The 16,920-nt window shown below is 43.7% G+C and overlaps 2 protein-coding genes across 7 annotated transcripts in view, besides 1 other annotated feature; both read right to left on the reverse strand.

Annotated features, from left to right (window-relative positions):
* The window catches only part of FXYD6-FXYD2 (FXYD6-FXYD2 readthrough), a 56,602-nt gene that overhangs the window by 23,495 nt on the left and 16,187 nt on the right, over positions 1–16,920 (reverse strand). The gene's annotated exons all lie outside the window — the stretch shown is intronic.
* FXYD6 (FXYD domain containing ion transport regulator 6) overlaps positions 1–16,920 on the reverse strand; it is a 40,450-nt gene that overhangs the window by 6,571 nt on the left and 16,959 nt on the right. The window contains exons 2-3 of one of the 5 annotated variants that reach the window (NM_001164836.3): positions 14,660–14,735; positions 559–655 (exon numbers count right to left, since the gene is read on the reverse strand). The exons of 2 other annotated variants lie outside the window; for them this stretch is intronic. The gene's annotated coding sequence lies outside the window, so the exon portion shown is untranslated. The remainder of the gene's footprint in view (positions 1–558; positions 656–14,659; positions 14,736–16,920) is intronic. 2 more of the 5 variants (NM_001164832.3, NM_001164837.3) reach the window with 2 other exon arrangements.
* Positions 12,191–12,691: an enhancer, noted in NCBI's record as "H3K4me1 hESC enhancer chr11:117726457-117726957 (GRCh37/hg19 assembly coordinates)". NCBI's record gives its function as "activates a minimal SCP1, AML or CMV promoter by ChIP-STARR-seq in primed H9 embryonic stem cells {active_cell/tissue: H9 hESC(primed)}" and the evidence as "EXISTENCE:reporter gene assay evidence [ECO:0000049][PMID:30033119]".

Raw genomic sequence — 16,920 nt, forward strand, 5'->3', positions numbered from 1 at the left:
AGTAAACCAGTGTCCCTCTAGTCTAGCCAGCTGGGTGGAGAGGAGACTTGTGGTTTCCTGGGCCCTGAAGCGCTGACAGCCCTCCTTCAGGTACCCTTTACGTCCCACCTCAAAAGTCCCCAAGTCAGCTCTTCCCACAGGCTTTGGTTCAGAATCCTCCAGAAAGGTGGTTTGATTCTACAAAAGGAGTTTGAAGGCTGGTTCCACGAGCCTCAGCACCCCAGCCTCTGCTTCCCCAGAGGATGCGGAGGTCTCTGCTCAGGAGCTCATCAGTCCTGGTCTCTGGGTGGATGGCCCCAGGTGGGCTATCCTGGTGGAAGCAGGAGGCAGGGCCAAGAGGTGGCACCCAGGGATAGATTTCAATGGCAGGACACACATCTCACTCCTGGGCTTAAAGGAGCATGGTTAAGAGCCAGAGAGGAGACAGAGAGGCTTTTCCTGAACCAGGAAAGCCCAAGGCTGGGTGCTGTTTTCCATGTGGGGTGAAACTGGCAGTGGCCTGAACCCCTGGACATCCGTCCAGTCCAAGACCCTGATTGCCCCCAGCACGGTCACTACCTTCCTCCGGCCTTGAGCAAGCAGCCGCCACTGCACTTCACCTCTCGGCCACCAGGGGTCAGAACGACTGCATCCACAGCCACGTCAAGGCCCAAACCTTGATTCAAAAAGCCTTTATCAAAAGGTGGTAATTTGCTTTCAATGCTGTCTCATTTCACACTTGTATTTCCTTTGAATGCTACACTGTATCTTATATGTATAAAAATATATGTAACATACACATATAATGAGGCATAGTAATAATAGAAACACCCATAAACCAGCAGCTTAGGAAATGGAGCTTTACAAAGACTGCTGCAGTGACCTCTATTTCCCTCCACCCCATCCCCCTGCCTCTCTCCCAGAGGTGGCCAGTATCCCAAAAATATATATTTTTATTTTTATTTATTTATTTATTTATTTTGAGACTGAGTCTCCCTGTGTCGCCCAGGCTAGAATGCAATGGTGCGATCTCGGCTCACTGCAACTTCCACCTCCCGGGTTCAAACGATTCTCCTGCTTCTGCCTCCCAAGGAGTTTGGATTACAGGCATGCACCACCACACCCAGCTAATTTTTTGTATTTTTAGTAGAGACAGGGTTTCACCATGTTGGTCAGGCTCAAACTTCTGACCTCAGGTGATCCACCCACCTCGGCCTCCCAGAGCGCTGGAATTACAGGCGTGAGCCACCGCGCCTGGCTGAAAATACATATTTTTAATCATTCCCTTGCTCTTCTTCTAAAAAGCTGCCAATCAACAGATATAAAATTTCAGTTATGCAAAATGAGTAAGTGCTAGAGATCTGCTGTATAACACTGTACAGCATAATTAACAATATTGAATTGCACACTTCAAGATATGTTAAGAGGGTAGATCTCATAGTAAGTGTTCTTTCCACAATTTAAAATATACAATTCACACATCAGGAAGTTTGCCATCTTAAACTGTACAATTCAGTGATTTTTAGAACATTTACAAACTTATGCATTCGTCACCAATCTCGGGTTCCAAGACATTTCATCCTCCCAAGAAGAAACTTGTATCCATCGGCAGTCACCCCCGACTCCCCTTCCCTTCAACCCTGAAACCATTCATCTACTTTTTGTCTCAATGGGTTTGCCCACTCTGGACATTTCACATAAATGAAATAATAAAATACATGGACTTCTGTGTCTGGCTTTCAAGTTAGCATAATGTTTTCAGGGTTCATCTACCTTGTAGCATGTATGCATATTTTATTTCTCTTTATGGCTGAATAATATTCCACTGTATGGATATTCACCTTGCTCTTTGTCTTAAAAATATATTTAACACGTACATATATCTAAATATTATGTTGCTTAGTGTAGCTTTTTTGAACTTTATAATTATGATATCATGTTTATAGTCTTTTGAAACTTGCTTTTTCTGTCCGACATTATGCTTCTGTGGTTCACTGACTTACTACATTTAGCTATAGTGCATTCATTTTCAGTGTGGTGTAATATTCCATTGTGCAGGTAAATGATCATGTAGTGCTCTAGTCTCCTGCCAATGGATGTCTGTTTCTTTTTCCCCCTCAATTTTATGCTATTACAAATAGAGTTGTGGACATTTTTGTGCATACTGCTCAGGGCACACATGCAAGAATTTTGAGGAAACAGTTTTTTGATTCTTTGATCACCACTCCCATAAGAAATACATTTTACATTGCAACCCAGCATAACACAGATTCATGTAACCAGAAGCAATTATCACAAAATAATACTTACTATGAATGAGATAGTTTCTTTTCTATTTTATTCTGTTTCTTTACAAAAAACATTTCCAGGCTCCTTAATGGGTCACACTCGGCAGTTTGAACAGTTATGTTCTAGACATGAGCCTAGGACTGAAGTCATTCATTGGGTTGTATAGTATGCAAACTGTCCACTTCACACAATGATTTAAAATTGTTTCCACAGTGGTCATCTCCATGATAATATCCCACCAGCTGCATATCACTGTCCCCATTACTCTACAACCTGTTGTGGATATTTTCTGTTGTCAGATATTTTCATTTTTGCCAATCTAGAGGTAAAAGATGGCTTTAATGTGATTACACTGTAATAGAGCTGGACTTTTTTCTCTGTGTTTATTTGTCATTCCTGTTTCTTCATCAGTGATATGTTTTTCATGCCGTTTGCCCGTTTTCCAAGTGAGTTGACATTATTATTGTTGTTAATTTCTTATTCTGAATACTAAACCTTTGTCATTAAGTATAGCAAATATCTCCTTCCAGTTTGTGGCTTATTTTTTCACTTTTAAAAATTGTCTTCTGTTGAACAGAATTTCTTAATCCTAACATACTTGAATGCTGTGATTTTTGTGTCTTAAGACATCCTTTGTCACCCTGAGGTCAGAGTTTTCATCTAAAAACCCCAAGGTTTTGTCTTTTACATTTAAATCTATTTGACATCTGAAACTGATGTTTGTGTATGGTGTGAGGTAGGAGTCTAGTTTTACTTTTTCCCGTAATGATAACTTGTACTGTAACCTGGTTCCAGGGGCAGACTGCCTCCCCTTTTCCTCATGATGGGCTATGCCACCTTTGTCACATATCTGATTTCTATTTGGTGTGCATCAGTTTCTGGGCTATCTCTTTGGGTCTCTTGGTCAATTTGTCTGTACTGCATTAAAATTACTGTGTTTCAATTATGATAGCTTCATAGTAATCTTGCCACATGGTAAGAGAAGCTCCCATCTTTTTTTCTCCTCTTCCCTCTCCTCCTCTTTCTTCAGGAATGTCTTCATTATTCTTGGTTTTCTGCTCTCAAATTTCAGAATTAGCTTTTCAAATTCATCTAAAACTGTTAGGATTTTCATGGGAACTGCAATGGACCTATCTATAGAACAACCTGGGGAGAAATGACATATTTCTGATCTTGAGTCCCCTGTCTATAAATACATCTTTTGATTTGTTTAGGTCCTTTTCAATAAAGTTCCATAAATGCTTTCATACAGGTGTTGCACATGTTCTGTTAGATTCATTCCTAAGTGCCTTATCATTTTTATTGCTGCTTTCAATGTCACCTTGTATGTGTTTTCTAATTTTTGCTGGTAGAGAGAAAAGCAACTGATCTTTACATATTGATCTTAAATCCAATAATCTTGTTAAACTCCCGAATTATTTGTAATAACTTACCTAGAAATGCCTTTGGGTTTTCTCTGTAGATATATCATCTTCAAATGATATTGTTCCTTCTTTCTAATTCTCACGCTGTTTATTTCTATTTTTTTTTAGAAAATTATAGTTTTTATTTTATTTTATTATTCTTTAAGTTTTAGGGTACATGTGCACAACGTGCAGGTTTGTTACATATGTATACATGTGCCATGTTGGTGTGCTGCACCCATTAACTCGTCATTTAACATTAGGTATATCTCCTAATGCTATCCCTCCCCCTCCCCCCACCCCACAACAGGCCCCGGTGTGTGATGTTCCCCTTCCTGTGTCCATGTGTTCTCATTGTTCAATTCCCACCTATGAGTGAGAACATGCGGTGTTTGGTTTTTTTGTCCTTATGATAGTTTTCTGAGAATGATGGTTTCCAGCTTCATCCATGTCCCTACAAAGGACATGGACTCGTCATTTTTTATGGCTGCATAGTATTCCATGGCATATATGTGCCACATTTTCTTAATCCAGTCTATCATTGTTGGATATTTGGGTTGGTTCCAAGACTTTGCTATTGTGAATAGTGCGGCAATAAACATACGTGTGCATGTGTCTTTGTAGCAGCATGACTTCTAATACTTTGGGTATATACCCAGTAATGGGATGGCTGGGTCAAATGGTATTTCTAGTTCTAGATTCCTGAGGAATTGCCACACTGACTTCCACAAAGGTTGAACTAGTTTACAGTCCCACCAACAGTGTAAAATGTTCCTATTTCTCCATATCCTCTCCAGCACCTGTTGTTTCCTGACTTTTTAATGATCGCCATTCTAACTGGTGTGAGATGGTATCTCATTGTGGTTATTTATATTTCTTGTCCTAGTGTACTGGGTAGGAATTCCAGTGAAATGCAGAATAAAAACAATAGCAAACACACACGCACACAACACGTGCACACTCACACACAGTCTTACTACTGATTTTAAATAGAGTTTTTCTAATGCTTTGAAAGTTCCCCTCTAATCCTGGTTTCCAAGCTGTTTCTGTTTTATGTTAATTATGAACGAGTGTTCTATTTCTATGGTTTTTGTCCTTAAATCTACCAATGAAGTAAATTGTATGTATGGATTATCAAGTGTTAAATCATCCCTGCATTTCTGAAATGAAACCAATTTTTTTTTTTTTTTTAATAAACAGATGGATTTGGCTTACTGACATTTTGTTTAGGATTTTTGCATCTATGTGCATGAGTGAGATTGGTCTGCAGTTTTTATTTTATTGTATTAACCTTGCCTGGTTTGGGGATGGCAGTACTGGCCTCACAGAACAAGTGTCCACTCTCCTGCTAGCTCCCTGGAAGAGTTTGCAGAAGATTCGAATTATCTGTTCTTTGAGTGTTTGGTGGAACTAACCTGTAAAATCATCCGGGCTTGGGACTTTCTTTGTGGGAAGATCTTAAATGGCCCATTCAATTAATTAATGGTTATGGCACTCTCCAGATATCTATTTCTTCTTTAATAAATTTAGTGAGTTATAATTTTTAAAGGAATTTTCCCTTTTCTGCTTTCAAATGTTTTGCCATAAAGTTATGCCTGTTTTTTTCATTCCTAATGTTACTTGTGACAACTCCCTTTCTTCTTGGTCAGTTTCACCAGAGGTTTAACGATGCTTATAGTTTTTTTGAAGAAACCAACTCTTGGTTTCATTAATCCTTTTTATTGTATGTTTTAAAATTTTCTTAATTCTGCCCTTAAACAATCTCTGGGTTTCTTCTATTGTTCTTTTTTATGTTTATCTTGTTATGTTGGATACCTAGTTCATTAATATTTAGCTTTTCTTATTTTCCAATATAAGCATTTAAGACTGCAATGTTCCCTCTAAGTGCTTTTAAAGTATAATACTAAGAACTAAACAATAATCAATAACCACACTTCAAAGCTTCTGTAAGGGGGTGAAAGTACTCCATCATAGTTGGATTGTTGTTTAGTTCTCAGTATACTTTAAACCTCCTTACAATTTCTTGCTTTACCTATGCATTAAGAAGTGTGTGTTTTAAATATCCAAATATATAGTGATTTTTATTTGCTTTTGTTATTGACTTCTAACTTAAGTGCACCAAGGTCACAAAACATGGTCTGTATGATGTACAGATGCCTTGAAACGTGTTGAGACTTGCTTTATGACCTAGTACATGGTCAGTTATTAAAAGAATTATATTTCATATGTGCTTGGAAAATTGTGAATTCCTTCATGGTTGGGAAGAAAGTTCTATATGCCTATAAATTAACATTATCAACTGTGTTTAAATTTCTTTTTTTTTTTTTGACTGTTTATCCTACCAAAAATCAAGATCAGCACTTTAAAATCTACCACTAAGTGGAAGGATTTATAAATGTATCCCCATATTTGAAACAGAGGGGTTAATCTGATCAGGTCTGCCTGCACTGCTTGCTTTTGGTCGCTTGCTTTTTGTTATTATATTTTATTTTTTTTCCTTTTTCCATGAAGCTGAAGGCCGTGGTAGCTGAAGGCCTCGGTAGCTGAAGGCCTCGCCACTGCATGCTGAAACTTAACCTTCACTGGTTACTTTACAGATAACATTCATAGGTCACCCTGGTAATGGTTACTTCAGTTGTTTTTCAGGAATTTGGGCTAGCTCCTGTCCAGTTCAAACAGGATGAGACCACCCACCCTTCAACTGGGCATGTGCAAGTGCTCCGAAGGGTAGCCTTTGACATCAGAGGGCTAAAAACTCCACCCTCAGGTCACACTAATGCCACCATTTCCTGTACATATGTCCTGTGGAATGCCACAAACCCTGACTACGCTTGCTCAGAATGAATCTGCCATTTCATTTCTCCCCACTGCCAATCACCTTTCCCTATGCCTCAGACCACCCCACTTCCCTTAACAGTAAATATCCCTAAGCCTTATCTTTGGGGAGGCGGATTTGAGAGCCGTTCTCCGGCCTCCTTGCTTGGTGGTCTTCTGAATAAATCTTTTCTCTTTTGCAAAATCTGTGTCACAGTGATTGATTTACTGAGATTTACTGAGTGTGGGCAGAACAGACCTGAAGCTGGCCGATAACATGTCTCTTAGAATATTCTAACAGATAGTTTAAAACTGTTACTGTCCTCTGAGTTGGGTCTTTTAGAATTATGTAGTGATCCTCCCTGTCTTAAATTCTATGTTACTCTCTACCTTTCTGTGTCCTTATGTGTTGTGTGTGCATCTTATAAACAGCAAAGAGATGGATTTTTGAAAAATTCTGTATTGTCAGGCTTTCTGTATTAATTGTCAAATTTACCCCATTTAATTTACTTATTGTGACTATTGATGTAGTTGGTCTGCTTTCTGCCATCTGTTTTTTCCCTATGGGAATGTGCTTGTTTCTTTTTCTTTCCTTGCCCTTTCTTTTTTCTGGATTAGTTATTTTTATTTTTATTTTTTTGGGGGGCGGTCTCACTATGTTACGTAGGCTGGTCTCGAACTCCTGGGCTCAGGTGATCTGCCTGCCTTGGCCTCCCAAAGTGCTGGGATTATAGGCATGAGCCACTGCCCCTAGCTTAGTGATTTTTTTTTTTCTTATTCCTTTTCTCCCTCTACTGGTTTAGAAATTATAGAAACTATTTTAATCTTTTAGTGGTCATCTTTGTAATTTTTCCATGTGTATTCAATGTAAAAAAGACCAAAAAAATTCAGAGTTAATACTTATAATAGTTATTAGGCAGAATACCCTCCTTGAAAATACAAAAATACAAATCATCCCCTTCCTGATACATATGCTATTATTGGAGAATATTTCAGTTCTTTTTAAAATTCTATAAAATAGATACTAATATTCGTACTTCATGAAAACTATGTTTGTTTGGATTCACCCATGTGTGTAGTAGCCAGCCTGCAAGACAGCTCCCAGTATCTCCTAGTATTCAGATCCTTGTACAGTCCCCTCCCACACTGCACCAGGGTTGGTCTGTATGACCAGGAAAATATGGCAGAAGTAATGGTATGTCACTTTCGATATGAGGTTATAAAAAGCAACACAGCCTCTTGTGTGCTCTCTCTCTCTCTCCCTCCCTCTCGGATTGCTTGTTCTGAGTCAAGCTAGCTGCCATGTCTTAAGGATATTCAGGCACCCCTGTGGAGAGGCCCATGTGGTGGCCTCACTCCAAAAGCCTGCTAAGAAATACAGCCTGCCATGAACCACATAAGTGAGCTTGGAAACAGATCTTCCGGCTTCATGAAAGACCTTGAGCCAGAACCACCCACTGAAGATTCTCCCTGATTCCATACCCTCAGAAACTGTGTGAAATATCAAACGTTTGCTGTTTTAGGCTGCTGAGTTTGGAAGTAATTTGCTATGCAGCAATAGATAATGAATTTACAACATATGTACTGATTTGTTCACCATTGTTTTTGAACGTTAGTCATCCTTCATGCCATTTTCTTTATTCCTAAAGAACATCTTTCAAAATTTTCTTTAATGAAGATCTGTTCGTTAGAAACTCTGTTTCTGTTTATTTGGAAATGTTTTCATTTCACCTTTATGGCAAGAGACCCTACGGCGATCCCCAGTCATTCCAGCCTTCTAGTGTTCAATGCTTTGAGTAATCTCTTTCCTTTGAATACTGGCAGGAGCTGCAACACACTTTTAACCAACAGAATGTGGCAAAAGTGGCAAAAGGACAGCTCTCAGATGATGGTGTTATATCATATAAGACTCAATCTTGCAGGCTGGAGCTCGAGAATTTTCTCCCTTGCTGGCTTGAAAAAGCAAGCTGCTATGTCATGAGACAGGCTACGGAGAGAAGCACAGGATAAGGAATTGTGGGAAGCCTCTAGCAGCTGACAGCTGCCCCTGGCCAGAAGCCAGCAAGAAGATGGGAACCTCAGTTCTTCTACCACAAGGAGATGAATACTGCCAGCAACCTGAGGGAGTCTGGAGGCAGATCTTTCCCCAGTCAATTCTCTTATCAGACCACAACCTTAGCCAGCACCTAGACTGTAGTTCGGTATGATGCTGAAGCAGAAAATTCAGCTAAGCTGTGCCAGACCTCTGACCTAAAGAAACCATTACATAATAAACATGTGTTGCTTTAAGCTGCTGGGTCTGTGATCGTTTGTTATGCAGCAATAGAAAACTAATACAATCCTAACCTTGAAAGGTAGTTTGGCTATGTACACAATTCTAGGCTGATAATTATTTTTGCTCTGCACTTTTAAGATGTTATTCCACTGCTATCTGGCTTCCATGATTGCTGTTGAGAAGTCTGCTGCTTATATCATCATTCCTTTATAGATGTCCTATCTTTCTTCTCTGCCTCCTTTTATTTTCTTCTTTTTGTGTTTGCTGTTGTGGGTTTCATCACAAGTCTGAAACACAACATAGAACTGATTGTCGTGAGTTTCATCAGACTTGAAAGTCCTTTACCTATAGGTTCATCCTTTTCATCGTTATGAAAAATTCTTATCTCTTCAAATATGGCCTCTCCTCCATTCTCCCCACTTTCTCTTTCTGAGACTGTGACTAGAAGCAGGTTAGACATCCTCATTCTATTCTCCATATCGCTTAACTGCTCTTTCATATTTTCCACTTCCTTCTCTATGCTACATTCCAGGTAATTATTTCATATTTGTTTTCCATTTTCTGACTTCCTTTTTAACTGTTTTTATTTGCTGCTTAACCCACTCATTTACTTTTGTGTTTCAATGGTCATATTATTAATTTCTAAAGGTTCTATCTGGTTCTTTTTGAAATTGCCTGGGCATTTGTGTTAGTCTTTGTTGTTCACTCATTTTGTGTTCTCATCTCTTATTCTTTCAACATTTCTTACAGTTATTTTATATTCTGTATCTGATAATTCCAAACTCTTAAATCCTTGGGGGTCAAAATCTACTTTTTGTTTCTGTGCCTTTCAATCACAGTGACTTGTTTTTTCCTGTGTTTGGTAATATATTCGATTGTGAGCTCATATTTGCTAGATTTTAATCTGTGGGAAATTGGTAGTCCTAAAATGGGACACTTTCTTTCAGAGAGCATTTGCTTTGCTTTTTCATGGAGGCTGGGGGCAGCAGATACCAACCTGAGATCACTTTAGCCCCTCTCAAGGGTTCTTGGCTTCATGCAGGTAGTCTCAGGTTTGGCTTCCCAACCTTGCTGGACTCAATGCTGATTAGCCTACAGAATGCAGTAATGTCAATGAGGGTGCATTCTAAGAGTAACTATGGCTTAAGTTCTGGCTAAGCTTCACATACTCCAGTGCTAGTTTTTGTTTTGTTTTGTTTTGTTTGAGATAGAGTCTCACTGTGTCACTCAGGCTGGAGTATAGTGGCACAATCTCGGCTCATTGCAACCTCTGCCTCCTGAGTGATCCTCCTGCCTCAGCCTCCCTAGTAGCTGGAACTACAAGCATGCACCACCATGCCCAGCTAATTTTTGTATTTTTAGTAGAGACAGGGTTTCACCATGTTGGCCAGGCTGGGTCTCGAAATCCTGACCTCAAGTGATCCTTCTGGCTCGGCCTCCTTAAGTGTTGGGATTTCAGGCATGAGCCACCATGCCTGGCCCAGTTATCTCATGGGGTTTTTGTTTTGTTTTGTCTTTTTGGTAGTGTTTGGTGTGGGGAGAGTAACGGTGACTTAAGATTGGATGATTTTCATTCCTTCTTTAAACCAAGCTGTGTAATAGTAAACCTGGGATTAATTATTTTAAAGTGGAAAGTCCCCTTATGATTCAGGCAGTCATACAGTCCTAAAATATCTTCAATCAAAGTATGAAATAAGGTAAGTTTTGAGCATCTGCTATCTGTAAAACACCTCCCTCCCTCCCTCTCTCCTTCTCTTTCTTTCTCCAGTTTACTGCTGCTTCCTAGCCCAAGTCCCATCTCCAAATTACACCTGCTCCTTGCTTAGCCAGTGAGGAGGGAGACTGGAGTCAAGATGTGGAAGGTAGATGAAACAACACATTAAGGCCTTCAAATCTTAGGGGCCATGGTGTGAATATTGGATGTGAGGTGAGAGAGGGAAGGACAAATGGACCAGGCTTCCCACAGTGGCCTCTTGACCAGCTCTAGCCGGAAGAGGGAGTGCAGTGTTGGCAATAGGGCTCTTCCTGCCCCCTGGGAATAGGGAAAGCACATGTCAATGGCTCTGGGCCACCAGGGACAATGGGCAGCAGTTCAGGTTGCTGCTGTGCCTTCCCTTCAAACCCCAACAATCACCTCCATTGATGCTCAGGTTCAAATCCATTACACAAGCCAACACTGAACTCCTAGAAAGGGCCATACTATTCTGGGTTCTGCAAAGGATAAGTAGGTGAACAAGATACAGCCTTAGCTACCAAGGAGAAGTAGGATTTGGTGGCAAAGGGCTCTGATCCATCAGCAAATATGACGAGAACTTCCCAACAGGTACAGACGCCATGCAACAATAGTCCAGAAAGACAGAGAGAAGGGGAGCAGAGAGCTCAACAGGGAGCTAGGGAAGTTTCCGTGGAGGAGCTGACATTCCAGCGGAACCTTAAGAGCAGGGTAGGATTTTGATAGACAGGGGGAAGGAAAGAGCAGAGGAAAGGCATTCCGGTAGAGAAGACAGCATGAGCAAAAGCAGTGAGAGGGGAAACAGAGAGTAGGAACAACAAATGGGATTCAGCTCAAGTTCAAGATCAGTTCAAGATGAGCCTTAACGCATTTCATGCAGTAGTAACTGTCCAAAGTGGCTTCCCCAAATGAGGTCCAACAGGAGACGGCCTTCATCCACCAGTAATGTCTGCTTAGCCTAGGAGGGGGCTGTGACAGCAACCTACCAAATAGCTGCCATTTCTAGTGTAAGATATCTTCCAAAACAGTGAACAACCCAGTTGGACTAAAGCATGATGGGGTGGGTGGTGAGAACTCAGATAAGATGGTTGGAATCAGATTGCAGAGGCTCTTGAGTGCCAAGCTAAAGAGTTAAGACCTGCCTTTGTATTCTAAAGAAAACATTTCTGATCAAGTGACAGTGTGAAAAGAAATACTGTCACAAATTTGAAAAGTGACCCATTCTCTACTCCTGCAAGCTGCTGTCCCAGCCTGGGCTACATCAACCACACCTCAGCATGGGCCCCTCGGGGTGGCGGGAGCGGGGAGGAGGGGGGCCTAAACCCATTTTTAAAAATCTCATCGGTGGTACGTTGGCACTGCCCCTGAGTCGAGTGGCCAAGTACATACACAGAACTTTTGAAGGGCCACAGAATGCCTTTGTCTCACTGCTGCACCCAGCTTGGCTTCCCTTCCATCTCATATACCACCCCTCTGCACCTCCCACCCTCCCAGTGACCACACATTCCTTTCTCCCTCCTTCCAGAGAGGAAGCTGGGCTGCTGGAGGCTGGCTGGGGTGGGGAGGGTAAGAGGCTGGGTGGTGAAAAATCTCAGTTCCGGGCGAGAGATTCTAAGGAGTAGATGGAAGACAGGAAGGAGGAGTCACTGGGGGAAGGAGATCCAAGGCTGAAGTGAGCGGAGAGGGCACAGGAACAGGGCATGCACCGCCACCTGCGCACTGGGCCCTGGACCTTTGCCTGGGGGCCTGAGGACCTGGCTCGCCAGCACAGGGGGCCTGAGAAATCATCACTGCTGGAGTGGGGGACTCCCTGGCTGCTTCACTCTCTTGCTCCCCAACTCTTCCCCTCTAGACCATTTGGACCACTCTCCCCATCTGGAGAATGGAACCAATCACACGTTGCTGCCTCCTCTAGGGTGTATTATGAGAACGAATTCTGTTTCCGCTCATTTTTCCTCTCCTTTCTGTGCTCTTGTTTATCTCCATATTGGCAAGCAGCTGAGGTTCTGGGTGGAAGCAGCACTTCCATGTTAATTTTCCTCTCTGATCCTCCTGCTTGGTTGCTGGCTGCATGTGCGGGAGAAAGCAATCAGAAGAGTTTCTCCGGCAATTATCTTCCCATACTGAGTCACATAATTTCACTTAATTGCTGGGTAAAAACTGCTCAGAAAGAGAAGCCACTAGTTGATGATATAGCAACATGCTCTATTATTTTTGATTCCACGCAGCAGTGAGGTAGATCAGAATACCCAGTTCCATTGTGAAAATAACTCAGAAACAACCTCCCTTGAAAATGCAGAGGCTCCAAATTACAGTGAAACTTCATTATCTCATCCTCATCCCTCCCTCCCCCTGCTCCCGAAGCTTCACTCGCCTCCCCTGGCATCCCACCTGCTTGCCTTCCTGCAGGCTCAGCCCACGGATGACAAGCTCTGAGGGGTCACCGGGCCTGGGTCTTAGCAGGATGCCCTGCTAAGAAAGATGAGGTCTCACTTCATACAGAACGTCCCGGAATGGGGCCTTTTATGAGGCCGCAGAATGCCTGGGCCCCACAGTTTAGTCTAAATGGTTACCCTAGACTATTATTATATGCAAAGGGATATGATTTAGCCTATGACGTATCTAGATCTTTGCAACCAAGAAGTCTATTAAAAAAAGATTCGACTGTGTATATATTGAGTATAACCAAGATGTGAGGTCTACCAGATGGAGTTAGCATCACAGAATTCATCACAGTTGGTTACAGTGATTGGGCTCCTGCTTTTTATTTGTGAAAATTGGGGCCCAAAGAGAGATGAGGTACCTGATTCATCCAGTTATTTAGGGGCAGGGCAGGGCTCAGAACATGCATTTCCCACTCTTGACTGCTGTTTTGATGTGCTGGGATTGGGAGGTGGGCAGAACAGGGCTGGCAGAGCAGTGGCCAGGAGGAACAGAGGGAAGGAAGGCTGAGCCCACCCCAATGCCAAAGGGAAGGGGGGTAGCCTGGCTGGAGCCAGGGAAGAGGGCGAGGCCCTGCAGGAATGGGGTGGCCAGGGACATGAGAGGGCAGGAGGGAAGCCACTGCCACTGATAGCCTCCTTGGATTGGAGATGGGAGGTGACAGTGCTGGCTTCAGGGAAGGTGAGGGATGGAATCATGTCTAGAATGGGTCTTCTGGAGGCATGGGGCCCAAATGCTCACTCTCTCACACAGGGGAGTAAATACGTGATGAGAACAGGTCTTTCCCATGATCCCCAGGTGATGTGGTGAGTTTAGTGCAGGTGGCTATTGCTGCAGCATGGATCTGTGTTGTGTAAGGTTAGACTAAGAATGAAAACAGGGAAGTCACAGACAAACTGGTCAGATGTATTGGGAAAGAAGTGGATTTTTTTTTTTTTTTTTGAGAAGGAGTCTCGCTCTGTAGCCCAGGCTGGAGTGCAGTGGCGCAATCTTGGCTCACTGCAACCTCTGCTGCCGGGTTCAAGCGATTCTCCTGTCTCAGCCTCCTGAGTAGCTGGGATTACAGGCACGCGCCACCATGCCCAGCTAATTTTTGTATTTTTAGTAGAGACGGAGTTTCACCATGTTGGCCAAGATGGTCTCGATCTCTTGACCTCGTGAGCCGCCCACCTCAACTTCCCAAAGTGCTGGAATTACAGGCATGAGCCACCACACCCGGCCCAGGTGGAATATTTATATTCCTAAGACCTTAGCAAGTCTTACTGTCTGGGAGGAAAATAGGGGGAGAGTGGTCTGATCTATTCGTGCTAAGCAAGACCTCTTGGAGACAAAGGACTGGCCCCGAAGGCTTTTTAAGGCCTCCTTAGCCCTCTGTTTCCATGAAAGGGCCATGCCTGCACAATATCAGCCTTACCATCAGTTCTCTATTCTCCATGCTCATGAACGGGACCTGGGGGAGTGGTCAGTATAAACCAGCAGAGAATGCCCAAACCCTGGCCTTGGCTTTGGAATGTGTTTTATTTTTATGGGAATTAAGCCTCATAATGCTTTCAGACAAAAGATAAAGAATCCCAGAGAGGCCTCAGTACTGGAGAGGCTGGATGTTCTTCTCCTCGATCTTCCTTGGCACCCCACCCCAGCCCCACTCCAGCGTCCCCCTGCTTCCCATCCATGCTGGAGCATCCTGGTGCCCTTGGCATCCAACCAAAGTACCTCCCCACTCACACACAGCTGCGTTTTTCTTCTCCAAACTGTCCCTCCTTTTTCTGCTTCCCGTCTCAGATGCTTTGGCTGAAGTTCTCTTGCAGGATTAAAAGGAAAATGAAGGACAAAAGGACAGTCGTCATCCACTTGGGGGACGTATGTCGAGCAGAGCTCCAGGGGGGCTTTCCCAGGGTCCCTCCTGGCTGAGCCCGGCACCCCTCACTCCCTCTCCATGTCAGGGCTGCTTTCTCCTCTCACCTTGGGTCCCATGTAACCACCAGCTTGGAAACAGGGGTAAGGACCACACTCAGCCTCACACCCCCAACTTTGTGCCCTAAACACTCTCCTGTCAAAGTTCCCAAGCCACAGGGACCCAGAGTCATGGCCCAGGTTCATCCTCTGTTTTTGTAAAACGGAGAGTCGATTCTGCTTCATTTTCTTTTTTCTTTCTTTCTTTCTTTCTTTCTTTCTTTCTTTCTTTCTTTCTTTCTTTCTTTCTTTCTTTCTTTCTTTCTCTCTCTCTCTCCTTCCTTCCCTTCCTTCCTTCCTTCCTTCCTTCCTTCCTTCCTTCCTTCCTTCCTTCCTTCCTTCTTTCTTTTCTTTTTTAGACAGTCTCGCTCTGTCACCAGGCTGGAGTGTGCAGTGGTGCGATCTTGGCTCACTGCAACCTCCTCCTCCCAGGCTCAAGCGATTCTCCTGCCTCAGCCTCCCGAGTAGCTGGGACTACAGGTGCGAACCACCACACCCAGCTAAGTTTTGTATTTTTAGTAGAGACGGGGTTTCGCCATATTGGCCAGGGTGGTCTCCAACTCCTGACCTCCGGTGATCTGCCCAACTCAGCCTCCCAAAGTGCTGGGATTACAGATGTGAGCCACCACTCCCGGCCGATTCTGTGTCATTTTCAACCCCTTCTGGGAGGCTGCTCGAAAGTCCATTTGCTTATGTGGCTATGAGATACATCTCCTGCCTCCTAGACACTGTGCAAGACCCCCGCCCCAAGCCAGTGTGTCCCGACCGCAGGTCCAGCCACACCCAGTTCGGCAGGACACTGTGGAGCCACTGGCGGGCAAATGTGAATCCCCTGAGGAGGGAGGTCCGGGGTTGGAGATCTTTGTGCCTTTACAAAGCACACCCCTGACTCACACTGCACACTTCCCAGACAGCGGCCTTGAACCAGAAGGCTGGACACAGAGGTCAGCCTGCATCATAGGAGCCCTTCTATGGATGCCACAGAAGAAACTAAGAGGAATTAAAAATTCTGAGATGAAAACCCACACTTGAGGCCCAGTCTGGGGGTCTGTATTGGATACAAGAGGTAATAATTATAATCACGACAAATGATACAGGCCAGGCACTATTCTTAGTGCTTTAAATGCTTATTCTCACTTAATCCTTAAACATAACCCGATGCTAACACTGATAATGTGCACCTGTGGCCCTTTCATGAAATCCAAGAACTAAGGAGGCCTTAAAAAGCCTTCAGAGCCAGTCCCTTGTCTCCAAAAGCTCTTGCTTAGCACAAATAAATCAAACTGTCCTCCCCCTATTTTCCTTCCAAACAGTAAGACTTGCTAAGGTCTTAGGAATATAAAGATCCCACCTCTCTCCCAGTACATCTGACCAGTCTGTCTGTGATAATTTTTAGTCCGGAGCTTCCCTGTTTTCATCCTTAGTCTGGTCGTACGCTACTCAGATCCACGCTACAGCAATAGCCACCTGCACCAAGCTCACCTTACCGCACAGCTGGGGTCATGGGAGAGGCCTATTCTCATCACCTGCTTGCTCCCCTGTGTGAGAGAGTGAGGAGTTGGGCTCCATGTCTGCCGAAGGCCTTTTGTTATCGTCAAAAGCATTTTACAGGGAAAGAAACTGAGGTAGGGAAAGAGAGGTGCCCTGGAGAATAAGTGCAGGATTCTGGACTTCAGCCCTGCTCTGTCTGCCTGGCTGTTGGTGGAGGGCAGGGAGTCTTCCTGCTATGAGTAGGTTTCCTTCGATCCCAGAGCCAGCCCCAAACTCCAGCCCTTGGGCCCCACCTCACAGGGAGGGATCACATCCATTTGGGGGCAAAGAGCCATGAGGGGCCACCTGCACTGTGGCTCTTTGAAGGGCCCACCTTTTCTAGGTAGCTGCCACCCTGTTTTCTCATTCCCATCCCAGTCCAGCAGGCTGAGGCAGCGAGATACAGGTACCTGAGAGAGCTCTGCGCAGAGAGCCACAATGCAGGGGCTCCCGCATCTGGATGAACATTTACCAAGCTTCCAGCATCTCTAGCTTCATACATA

Source organism: Homo sapiens, chromosome 11 (assembly GCF_000001405.40).
Source record: "Homo sapiens chromosome 11, GRCh38.p14 Primary Assembly".
Lineage (NCBI taxonomy): Eukaryota > Metazoa > Chordata > Mammalia > Primates > Hominidae > Homo > Homo sapiens.